Source organism: Homo sapiens, chromosome 6, assembly GCF_000001405.40.
Source record: "Homo sapiens chromosome 6, GRCh38.p14 Primary Assembly".
Lineage (NCBI taxonomy): Eukaryota > Metazoa > Chordata > Mammalia > Primates > Hominidae > Homo > Homo sapiens.
In genome coordinates this window covers 7,514,632-7,527,752 of record NC_000006.12, presented here as the reverse complement: position 1 = coordinate 7,527,752, position 13,121 = coordinate 7,514,632, and the positions used below count along the sequence as shown (strand labels likewise).

The following is a 13,121-nucleotide window of genomic DNA, read 5'->3' as shown; positions in this document are numbered from 1 at the left end:
TCTCAGATGGTGGCACCACTTTATATCTGCACCAGTTGTGAATAAGAAACCTAGAAAGCTGCCTGCTTTTCAGATCCACATACAGATTCCCCAATATAAACTGTTACATCCTTAACCAAGGTTTCAGACCAGATTTATGCTAAAGTTCTAGTTCCGGGCTAGAGCGTCTTACCCTTTGTAAAGTTCTTTGGGGAAATACATGTGATTTTTCTCAGTCTTCTTGGATTGATCTAATTTTTAAGAACCCCAGAGAATACCTAGCCCTAACAGCATCTTCCTGTGTTACGGAAAAGCAATACTGAGTTGGGTGTTCTTACCTCTTCCCTGGTGCTCCACAAACTCACAGAGGATGTCATGTGGTTAACAGAAGACAACATCAAGTAGTCACCGACAATAGTAGTTATTGGAAGAAGAAAGTGGCTATTTTTTCAATTTAATTAAATGTGGTAATGAATGAGTGAATTCCCCCCAAGGGTAGGAGAAAGGAGAGTCCTTATTTTTCTTTGTTTTTTATTTCTTTTTTTTGGAATCATTTTTCCCCCAGAGATAGTCCCTTTATCTAAGAAAAAATAACTTCCTCCTGAAAGACAGACCGCTTTTCCAAAAACATAAAAGAAGCAGGCCACCTGCGCTAGCTCCTCTGTGTCTTCCTAGTCAAGTGAAATTGAAGGGGGCAGAGGAGGTCTCCGTGCACCGTGGAGGGGAAGGGAAGTATCCGCGGGACGTGGAGGAGGGAGGGGAGATCTCCATGGAGGCTGGAGGGGGAAGGGAGGTGACCACAGCTCTGCTTCCTCCTCAGGGAAGGGGAGTGGCCCAGTGTGGCTCCAACCACCAGGCTTCACCTGTGCCCTCGGCCCCACCACAGGCAGAGCCTGTTGCTGGACTTCCAGTTCACTTTTGTTCAGGCAAGTGAGTCTCCGTCATTGGCAGTTTAGCCCCGAGTTCAGTTCCACGTTTATAGATTATTCCCTCTCCATTGCCCATTCTAATACTCACCGCTGTTGATCTTCCCAAGTCTCTAAAAAAAAAAACAAAAAAAAAAAACAAAAAAAAGCCTACCCCTCAAATCACCTTTCCTTGACTCAGTTCATGCAGCAGGCTCCACACTTCTCGTCAACCCATTCCTCCAATGTCTCTTCTCTAACTCAGTACTCACCCACAGTGATTTTCAAAAGTGTGGTCTTTCTTTTTTTCTTTTTTTTTTTTTGAAACGGAGTTTTGCTCTTGCTGCCCAGGCCAGAGTGCAATGACATGATCTTGGCTCGCGGCAACCTCCGACTCCCAGGTTCAAGCGATTCTCCTGCCTCAGCCTCCCGAGTACATCCTCCTGGGATTACAGGAGTGTGCCACTAAGCCCAGCTAATTTTTGTATTTTTAGTACAGACAAGCTTTCACCATGTTGGCCAGGCTGGTCTCAAACTCCTGACCTCAGGTGATCCGCCCACCTTGACCTTCCAAAGTGCTGGGATTACAAGCATGAGCCACTGTGCCCAGCCAAAAATGTGGCCTTTCAAGAGTCAGCAGGCGTGTTGGTAGATGGTTTAAGTGACCACCTTACCAATTCCAAATGAATTGAGATGTGAGACCTCTGACCTCTCCTCAGTCAGTCCTTTGTCTCTATTTCCATAGTTGTCACTCTGGTCAGGAACTTGACCACTTCTCGCTTAGTATGGATTGCCCCCTTCCTTTCCACACCAGCACCAGGCTAACCCTCTGAAAAGTTCCCTTCTCATGCCATTCTCCTCCTCATGAATCTTCTTTGGCTCCCACTATCCACAGGTAAGATACACACTCCACAGCCTGGCAGGCCACTCCCTCCACAGCCGAATCCCAATACTCAATCCCAGGTGCCTTCCTGCCTCTGTGCTTTGGTTCCTGCCCTCTCCCACTGCAGTGCCCTCCTCTCTTCTCCATGCACGGTTAGATTCACCTCTTGCTCTCCATGACACCCTTCCATGTCACCAAAGCCCATAGTTCATTTAAAAAAAATTCATCCCGCCATCTATCCATTTATCCTTCCCTTCATTCAACAAATGTTTTCCTTTTACTGAGTACTTATGAGTCAAGCATTGTGCTAGATTCTGTGGAAGCAAAAATAAGTAAGTCATACTTCCCATCCTGGAGGGATTTAGTCTAATAGAATAAACACTAGCTACCATTTAGTTTGCACATATTATACATTAGCTATAGTACAAAGCATTTAATATATTTTGTCATAAATTATCTTCACAATAACACAATATGAGAGGTATTATAATTATAATCTTGATTTTATTGACGATAAAACAGAGGCTTAGCGGGGTCAGGTTATCTATCCATGGTCACTTGGGTGGCAATCAGCAGAGCCAGGAATGCGAGTCTGTAAAAACCTGCTCTGATGTCCGCCCTGGGAACACACTTCCTCTCACCATACCACTCACCTTCCTCTCCCTCTCTCTCTACCTTTCCCTCCTGCTGTCTCTTTGAGTTCACAGCATTTCGCAATTGATCATGTACTATATGTTTTCTCCTTGCATTTTCTTAACTCATTATGTAACTTCTGTGTGCACTTATTTCGTATTTCTTCAATTAGATTTGTAAATGCTGGGCCGGGCGCGGTGGCTCATGCCTGTAATCCCAGCACTTTGGGAGGCCAAGGCAGGCGGATCACAAGGTCAAGAGATCAAGACTATCCTGGCCAACATGGTGAAACCCCATCTCTACTAAAAATACAAAAAAATTAGCTGGGCGTGGTGGTGTGCACCTGTAGTCCCAGCTACTTGGGAGGCTGAGGGAGGAGAATCGCTGGAACACGGGAGGCGGAGGTTGCAGTGAGCCGAGGTCATGCCATTGCACTCCAGCCTGGTGACAGAGCGAGACTCCGTCTCAAAAAAAAAAGATTTGTAAATGCCATGAGACAAAGGGAGTTAGGAAAGGATGAAATCAAGAATATCATGCCTTGTGCAGAGTGGGATTCATATGTATGTTCCAGTTAAAACAGGTTTGGGATGTCAACACCTCAACATTTCATAGAGCTAGGAGGAGGTCATCCGTGAGTTAAACATAGATCACCAACAGTCTCAAACAGTGACCCCCAAACTTTTAAATTACAAGGGCCATCTTGTTATTAGAAACTCCTAATTTGCTTCTAAGCAAAGAAATCTTCTGACAATAACCAATGGAATAAATATTATGTATTAGCATTATTTTTAAAACAGTCATGAATTTAGTGATGCCTTTGAGCAAATTTGTGTTTTATTAATTGCAATTACACATCCCCATGTTTTTGAATAGTATGAGTAGGTGTAAAATATTATGCATGCAGTCTATAGATAATGCTTGCAGCCCCACAATTTTAAATGCCTCATCAGGCATCCATGTCCTATAGACTAGGAATCACTGGTTTATGAGTTCGCTACCCCTGAGCTGAGAGTGGACAAGGTGAGCTCACCTTGTAAAGGATCATGCTTCCCTTCTGAGTCCAGAATTCTTTTGTGGGAAGGAATCTTAGTTTAGGGCAGAGCTCTGACATTTTTCTGTCTTCTCTATTCAATAAGAGTACAAAAGGGGGAGGATCTCCCCTCACTGATTATGCAATATAATTACTACAGCCGTGAATGGGATTAACAGTCGTGGGTTCAGTGTGACAAATTTAAAAACAACTCAGTGAGCTCATTTTTAATGTCTCTTTCCTCTTTCCAGTTCAGATCTCAGAGAAATTTGAACTAACAGGGGTGAGTTCAGTCAAAGCTGGCTGTGTGCAAACTATCAACTGGTAACAGAATGCTGGCCATGGGAAGAGGAGGAGTTTCTCCCCTGTGCCCTTTGTTAAAACTTTTTTGGTAACTCATCTTTGGTTTTCGTTTTTTTTTTTTTTTTTTTTTTTTGAGGCAGGGTCTCACTTTGTCACCCAGGCACCACCCCTGAGTGGTCTTGGCTCACTGCAACCTCTGCCTCCTGGGTCCAAGTGATTCTTGTGCCTCAACCACCCAAGTAGCTAGGATTACAGGCATGTGCCACCACACCCAGCTAATTTTTGTATTTTTAGTAGAGACAGGGTTTCACCACGTTGGCCAGGCAGGGCTCGAACTCCTGTCCTCAGGTGATTCTCCCACTTCGGCCTCTCAAAGTGCTGGGATTACAGACGTGAGCCACCACACCTGGCCTCATCTTTGTTTTTTATTGAAAGTCAAGGCTATATAGTCTGGGTAAAGAGTGTTGCTGAGTGAGTCTGGAAGAAATCATCTGAAGCAAGAACTATATGATTTATTGCATAACACAAAAAGGATATGTAGTATTTTGTTCATACATCTACCTAATTCTTCCTTAAGGATGCCTCAGATCCTTCTGCCATAAGCCTTTAAAATGAAAGGCAATACACAAAAAGGTAGAATATGATGCTCACCATCATTGTAGAACTAACAGGAAAGGTGGCAGCCTAGAAAGGAGTGAGTATTATTCCAAGAAAGAAACAGGCCCATACACAAACAACTGCAAATACGTTGTGGTGACTTAACTAAGAGATTAGACTTAATTTAAAAAGTAATAATGATCTTATTCATTTCAATCTAAACAATTCAGAGTTTTACCAGTTTATTTTAGAGAAACATGGACAATACTATTGCCCTCATCCCAAAATATATACAGAGCCCTTATCATGTGCATGGCATAATGAAAAGCAACAATATTCTATTTTAAGGAATTAGGTGCCTCTTATAGTCTAAAGGTCAGATCTAGAAATACTGTTCTCTATTTGGGCTTCCAAATTTCCCTCTGGTCTGAAGAACAGATCTCTCCCTTGAGAAGTTCAGCTTCTCAAACAATGTCAGGCACATAATAGGACTCAGGAAAGATCTGTTGAATGAATGAATGAGTGAATGAGTGAATGAATGAGCTCATGAACGGGGTGCCTGTCACTTCAGCAAACAAATGTCTCAACACAAAACCACAAGCAGTGGTGTCTGCCTGTAGGCCCAGCTAGTCGGGAGGCTGAAGTGGGAGGACTGCCTGAGCCCAGGAGTTTGAGGCTATAGTGCACTATGATTGCATTTGTGAATAGCCAGTGCACTCCAGCCTGAGACATATTTTAAAAAGAAAAAAATGTATGAACACAGACATCCCATCCTCATTCAGGAAAAACTCAGAATGGAACTTCAGGCAGATGGTGAAAAGCCACACATTCTACCAGTTGCTTTAACTGCACTGTTTCCCCTTCCAAACCTGGATTTCTTATGGTCTTTACATCAAAAGTAGAAGTGAAAGCGGATTCTCCATGGTTGTGTGCACCTTTTGAATGATAAATAGTCAATCATTTTAAGGCAGTGTGTACAGGGGTGGCTGAGTCTGGAGAGTGGGATTTGTTGAGGAAGGTCTGTACGAGGAGCCCAAGGCAAGGATAGCGTGGGGTAGAGAAGGATGTCTACTGAGGATAGAAATAGGAAAGGAGAAATCAATGCAGGAAAAACAGGAAGCTCTGTGTGTGTGTATGTGCACATTTCACACGTGCATAAAAGTAAAATATGCAAATATATATGACTTGAATCGGATCCACAAATAAGCACTAAAATACACCAGCTACAGAGATGTTCTCTGTAAAATACACCAGAACAGAGATGTTCACAGCCCCTCTAGGTCAAACGATTAAACGAAAAGACTGATGGCATCTGTGGGAAAGATGTTTTAGCTTTTGAGCTCTACAGCTTTATATCAAGCTCATCCAATCACTCTAGGGCACTAAGGAAAAAGATGAAAAAAAATAGCATTCTTTATCATTATAACTGATGAGATAAAAATACTGACAAGACAGCTTTCTGTCCACAGGAACAAACTTAAACTGGTTAACTTGAAAAGGAAACATTCAAAAACAGATGATATGAATACATGGCGTTAGAATTAGGGTAGTGGTGGCCAGGCACAATGGCTCACGCCTGTAATACTAGCACTTTGGGAGGCTGAGGCAGGCGGATTACTTGAGGCCAGGAGTTTGAGACCAGCCTGCCCAACATGGTGAAACCCTGTCTCTACAAAAAATACAAAAATTAGCCAGGTGTGGTGGTATGCACCTGTAATTCCAGCTACTCAAGAGACTGAAGCACAAGAATCACTTGAACCTGGGAGGCAGAGGTTGCAGTGACCCAAGATTGAACCATTGCACTCCAATCTGGTGACAGAGTGAGACTCTGTCTCAAAAAAAAAAAAAAAAAAAAAGAATTAGGGTAATAGTTACCTTGGGTAGGGAGTGACCAAAAGGGTCCAAAGAGGGGACTTCTGGGATGACAGTAATGTTTTGTTTCTTGACCTGGGGACATGGTGTGTTGATGAGTGAGGAAATTCATCCCACTCTGTACTTATGATTTGTATGTATTTCTATATGAATATTACACTTTAGTAAAAAGTTTACTCAAAATGCCTACATAGACATTTGTTTTGTTTTGTTTTGAGATAGGGTCTCACTCTGTCGCCCAATGGAGTGCAGTGGCACTATCAGAGCTCACTGCAGCCTCAACCTCTCTGGGCTAAGGTGATCCCTCCTATCTCAGCCTCCCAAGGAGCTGGGACTACAGGTGCCTGCCACCACATCTGGCTAATTTTTGTATTTTTTGTAGAGATAGGTTTTGCCATATTGCCCAGGCTGGTCTCTAACTCCTGGGCTCGAGCAATCTTTCCACCTCGGCCTCCCAAAGTGCATGGATTATAGACATGAGCCACCATGCCCAGTGCTATCTAGAAATTTCAAGATTATTTCATTGGCAATTGAATCTCTATAAAAACACAAGCAACTTCAAAACTTATATATATTTTCTTTAATGAGGGTGGTGATGGATGGAATTCTAGCAATGAAGAGAAAGAGAGCCTATTCATAAGTCAAGTGTTTGGAGCTTCCCAGGGAGATGAGACGTTAGTCCTACATAATTATTAAAGGAAATATTGTGCTACACTTACTATGGAGCCCAAACTGATGGGCCAGATAAAAGTCTAGGCTCTCTGCAGGTCATACAGTCATTTAGCCTGTACTTTCCTAATTGTTTTCTTCTCTGGTATTACTAAAGGGCTTATTAACCTGCTGGTAAACAATGAACACAGATTAGTGGTCATTAATTAAGGTCATGGGTCACCTAATAGGGATGGCTCAGTGAGTAGTTTCTGTTGGTCTTACGCAGCACCTGATAGACCATCAGAGATGACCAGGTCAAATATGGCTGTGTCACAACTCTATTCTCTCAGGAGGAAATGCTCCTTCCTCTCACTTTCCACCTCACCCTTTATGGATAAAGGAGGCCAATACAACGTGGGCCTGCCGGGGTCGTGTATTCTTACCCAGTCAGATTTTGACGCCTGCCTCTCCCGTGAGGTATTCCACCAGGGATCCCCTCCCTCATTGACATGAGCAGACAGGACCATGAGGGCTATTTGTTCCCAAACTCCTCACCATCAATATCACCTTTTTTCCATTTTCTCCAACTTCGAGAATTGGGAGCCCAGGCATGGTGGCTCATTTCTATAATCCCAGCACTTTGGGAGGTCAAGGTGGGAGGATTCCTTGAGCTCAGGAGTTTGAGGCCAGCCTGGGCAACATGGTGAGACTCCATCTCTGTAAAATTAGATTAATACAAATAAAAAATAAAAAGAATTGGGAGAAGTGACTGGTAATTTCTCTTTATGAAAAGAAAATCCCCCAAAGTATTCTTAATCATTTTTCATATTCAAAGGTAAAAATCTGTCAGCATCACATGATGACTGGTGGAATTTCCAGATCAGAGGTATGAGCATTCCACAAAAGTGTACTTACTCCCACTTCAGCAAGGACAATTACATCTCTATCCCTATGAAATATCAGGATTCTGTGCAAGATTTCGCAAGTAAAAAAGGAGTTTTGATGATTTTAAGAAGTTTTAAGGGTCCCAGCAGCTTAGGGGTGGTAAGAATTGCAGCCAGGACAGCTCTGCAAAGGCCCTCGCAGTGCCGGCCCGGAACACTGCCAGGAAGCCGGGGAAAAGGAGCAGTTCAGCTCAAGAGACAGTCATGGAGAGACTGGCAAGATGGTATCCAAACCTGTTCCTGCAGATGCTGAAACTGATTTTAAAATATACAAACAATAAAAGTAAGAAAGTGTAAACAAAAGGGAAAGGAGGAGCAAAACTATGAAATCAGACTCACCTGCAGAAAATGAAGATGCTAAAACCAGAAGAGGCCAGACTCTGGGGAAGCAGGAGAGAAAGCAGCCAAATCTGGTGAGTATCCTCAACCGAGTACCCTCGATTATCTCAGCATTGCCTTCTTGCAGAAGCCAGAAGAGCCATTTTACCAACTATTTTGTAAAGGCAAGTTTTTAATAGTTCTAGAAACACACTTGTAAGAAGCAGGAAACCTACCCCTTCCCTTAAAAAAAAAAATTGTTTTTGATAAGGGTAAATACTTTTTTAAAGAAGTAAGCTCATGGCCTGGGGTTAGGTTTCTTTTCCTTTTATTTAGTGCCCTTTCCCCACCCTGGTTGTATATTTTTCCATATACATCATACATTTTTCAATTTAGCTATTCATAGAATAAGTGGAAATCGAATTAAGGGAGACATTGACTGTAGTCTGAGGGTGGGGGAGGGGAGGTGGTGGAAACTGTGCTAGCAGTTTCCAACATCCCATTACAAGAAGCACAATCAGGCTGGGTGTGGTGGTGTGTGTCTCTAATCCCAGCCCCTTGGGAGGCCAAGGCGGGTGGATCACTTGAGCCCAGGGGTTTGAGACCAGCCTGGGCAACACAGAAAAACCCTGTCTCTACTAAAAACAGAAAAATTAGCCGGGCGTGGTAGTGCGCGTCTGTAGTCCCAGCTACTCAAGAGAACCACCCCAGCCCAGGACACAGAGGTTGCGGTGAGCTGAGATCGAACCAGGTCACTGCATTCCAGCCTGGGCCACAGAAGGAAACCCTGTCTCAAAAAAAAAAAAAAAAAAAAAAAAAAAAAGCACAATCCAATGGCAATTTAAAGTCGTAATCATGCATTTAACTTATAAACATTTTATACTGCTTAGCTTTATTCCCTTGTCTTTTACTAAAATTATTTATAAAACTACTCCTTGATCTGGGTTCCCTGATGGAAGAGGGTGTCCTCCATGACACTTTTGTTCCTGGTAATCCAATTTTTCCTAATAATTTTATCAATGTGTTGTGAAAGATTGGACAGTTTTGAGCATGTAGTATCTATATGAAATCGTGAATTAGTCAAATTTTAGACCAAACAAATTTTCAATGTTTTAAGATGATGGCATTTGAAAACCTGTTTCTAAAAAAAATAATTTGTCTCCAAATCGTAAGCTAAAAAGTCAATAGAATAACTGTTTGGAAAAGAATTATAGTTGCATAGCTTTTTATATTTTCAGTACTCACTGTTAAGAACTATATACAGGGTTTCTGCAGAGGCTGTGTCAGAAGCCAAGGCAGCGGGAGTCCGGTTTTGGATTGCCAGCCTGTGTGTGTGAGTCTGAGCATGTGAGCAGCTGTAGCGCCCCAGCTCCCCATCAGCATATCATCCCGGCAGGAGATAAACTACGTTCAGTTAAGTCTGAAAGACTGGAAGGAATTGGGGTGATAAGAAATTGATGCACTGTTGGCGGGGCACGGTGGCTCACGCCTGTAATCCCAGCACTTTGGGAGGCTGAGGCGGGCAGATCTCCTGAGGTCAGGAGTTCGAGAGCAGCCTGACCAACATGGTGAAACTCCATCTCTACTAAAAATACAAAATTAGCCGGGCATGGTGGCGCATGCCTGTAATCCCAGCTACTCGGGAGGCTGAGGCAGGAGAATCACTTGAACCCCTGGAGATGGAGGTTGCAGTGAGCCAAGATCATGCCATTGCACTCCAGCCTGGGCAACAAGAGCAAAACTCCGTCTCAGAAAAAAAAAAAAATTGATTCACTTTCAAGGTTTATTAAACTCAAAATGTCTAAAAAAATCAGTGGCGGTTCTGTGGTAGAGATGCAAGGAGATGAAATGACACAAATCATTTGGGAATTGAATAAAGAGAAACTCATTTTTCCCTATGTGGAACTGGATGTACATAGCTATGATTTAGGCATAGAGTACTGTGATGCCACCAACGACCAGGTCACCAAGGATGCTGCAGAAGCTATAAAGAAGTATAACGTTGGTGTCAAGTGTGCCACTATCACTGCTGATGAGAAAAGGGTTGAGGAGTTCAAGTTGAAACAAATGTGGAAATCGCCAAATGGCACCATCCAAAATATTCTGGTTGGCACGGTCCTCAGAGAAGCCATTATCTGCAAAAATATCCCCCAGCTTGTGAGTGGATGGGTAAAATCCATCATCGTAGGTCGCATTGCTTATGGGGATCAATACAGAGCAGCTGATTTTGTTGTTCCTGGGCCTGGAAAAGTAGAGATAACCTACACACTAAGTGACAGAACCCAAAAGGTGACATACCTGGTACATAACTTGGAAGAGGGTGGTGGTGTTGCCATAGGGATGTATAATCAAGATAAGTCAATCGAAGATTTTGCACACAGTTCCTTCCAAATGGCTCTAAGGATTGGCCTTTGTAGCTGAGCACCAAAAACACTATTCTGAAGAAATATGATGGACGTTTTAAAGACATCTTTCAGGAGATATATGACAAGCAGTACAAGTCCCAGTTTGAAGCCCAAAAGATCTGGTATGAGCATAGGCTCGCTGATGACATGGTGGCCCAAGCTATGAAATCAGAAGGAGGCTTCATCTGGGCCTGTAAAAACTATGATGGTGACATGCAGTCAGACTCTGTGGCCCAAGGGTATGGCTCTCTTGGCATGATGACCAGCATGCTAGTGTGTCCACATGGCAAGACAGTAGAAGCAGAGGCTGCCCACTGGACTGTAACCCGTCACTTCTGCATGTACCAGAAAGGCCAGGAGATATCCACCAATCCCATTGCTTCCATTTTTGCCTGGACCAGAGGGTTGGCCCTCCGAGCAAAGACTGATAACAATAAAGAGCTTGCCTTTTTTGCAAATGCTTTGGAAGAAGTCTGTATTGAGACAATTGAGGCTGGTTTCATGACCAAGGACTTGGCTGCTTGCATTAAAGGTTTACCCAGTGCGCAATGTTCTGACTACTTGAATACTTTTGAGTTCATGGACAAACTTGGAGAAAACTTGAAGATCAAACTGGCTCAGGCCAAACTTTACGTTCATACCTGGGCTGAGGAGGATAAGTGTCTTTTGATAACTAGGTCTACAGGTTTTCATTTTTCTGTGTCACACTCAAGGATAAAGGCAAAATCGATTGTGTAATTTGTTTAGAAGCTAGAGTTTATCTTTATTGTAAGTTTATAGACATATATATATATACAGTTATTGCCACCGTTGTGAATATGGGAAGGGACTTTAAATTTTATTTTCTGGTAGCAGCCTAGGAATTCGGTTAGTACTCATTTGTATTCACTGTCACTGTTTCTCATGTTCTAATATAAATGACCAAAATCAAGAGTGCTCAAAGGGTAAGTGATAGCCACAGTATTGTTCCCTAAAATATGCATAAAGTAGAAATTCACTCCCTTCTTCTCCTGTGCATGACCTTGGGCACGGGAAGGTTTTGTTGTTAAAGATGTCCCATTACGTGATGTAGAGTTGTACGTTAAACTCGCACGTGACTGGGGCAAACTATGAGTGCAACTCAAACGCGTTGAAGACACTGCAGTCATTTTTGTAAAGAGCTTGCTGAATGTTTCCAATAGACTAAATAGCTTTTAGGCCACAGGAAAGTTTGGAATCTGGGATAAATACTACCTGGAGGTTTGGGAAAAAAAATAAAAGAACTATATAGAAATGAATCATTAGGTCTATGTACTGATCATTAAACAAAAACAAAAACAAAACAGTAAAATATCAATTAAGGTAGAAAAAAAGTCTAAAAACAGAGGTATGGTAGAAAGAGCACTGGATTTTTAGGCAGGTGGACAGGACTCCTAACCCAGAGAAGTTACGTGATTTGTGTGACATTGCAGAGCAAATGTTATATGGCAAAGCCAAGACTTGACCCATGCCTTCAGGTTCTCAGCCCTGCTGTTCATTACCCAACATGGCCGCTCAGAGGTGACTCTTCATCCTACAGTTATGCGTGGCTTGCAAAGCCAAAGAGCCAGAAATGGGTTCAACTCTAGATGTTCTCATTCACTAGATTGCCTGTAGCAATGATTCTCAGTACTTGCCATGTATCAGATTATATGAAGGAGCTTTGGAAAACATACAGTTGCCCAGATCCCTCTTCCAAAGATTCTGACTCATTTGTTCTGGGGTGGGGCCCAGGTAGTTTTATTTATTAAAAAAATCTCCCTGGCTGATTCTCATATGCAGCCAATTTGATGAGAATCATTGTTTTCTGGCACTGGTTCTCAACCCTGGCTGCACATTAAAATCACTTGGGGAGCTTTGAAAGCTACATGCCTAAGTCCCATCCTCAGAAACAGTCAATCACCTGGTCTGGGTGCATCCTGAGCCCTGGCCTTTGCAAAAGCTTTCCAGGTGATGCTAATGTATAGCAGATATGAGAACCATTGCTCATAGGCTTCCCAAACCATGCATCCTTAGTCTAAAATCATCTCTCAGGGAAGGGCCTGATCATCAGCGTTCTGAAAACTCTAGCACTGTCGGTGTTCAATAAGTGCTTGTTGAAAGAATTGCCTCATGAGAATCAATGTCTATTGACAGGTGAGAAGAAAAGGGCAAGTTTAAGAAATAATGAGCATTTAATATGAAAATGTCCTGAGGGTGGATTATATAGTTAGTTAAGCAAATATTATGACAATATGCAGATGATTTTATGAACACAAAGGTGGCCTTCTTAAGTCGTAGAGGCTGCTATCCTAAACCTGGGATAGTCTTACGTAGGGTAAACACACCTGGTAGCAATTCTTTAAGCATACTCTGAGAATGCCCCTGGATGGCAGATGCATCTAAATGTGTGTTCCAAGCTGGGGAACCCAAGTAGCTAACCTGGAAGTTCGTTCCTTATCTATGATAAACATCTGAGCCCCTTGCATGTTCCATGGAACACAGGCTGTACATCAAGGCCCTGAGTTTTGGGTTAAATGAAGGTTGCCAGGTGGAGGTTGTCACGGGGAGGGTGTTAAGTGGAAATGCTATGGAAACTGCATG

At 42.8% G+C, this 13,121-nt stretch overlaps 1 pseudogene, besides 1 other annotated feature; it reads left to right on the top strand.

Moving 5' to 3' along the window:
* Positions 798-1,299: an enhancer, noted in NCBI's record as "H3K4me1 hESC enhancer chr6:7526687-7527188 (GRCh37/hg19 assembly coordinates)". NCBI's record gives its function as "activates a minimal SCP1, AML or CMV promoter by ChIP-STARR-seq in primed H9 embryonic stem cells {active_cell/tissue: H9 hESC(primed)}" and the evidence as "EXISTENCE:reporter gene assay evidence [ECO:0000049][PMID:30033119]".
* Positions 9,875-11,659, top strand: IDH1P1 (IDH1 pseudogene 1; annotated as a pseudogene).
* The last annotated feature ends 1,462 nt before the right edge of the window (positions 11,660-13,121 follow it).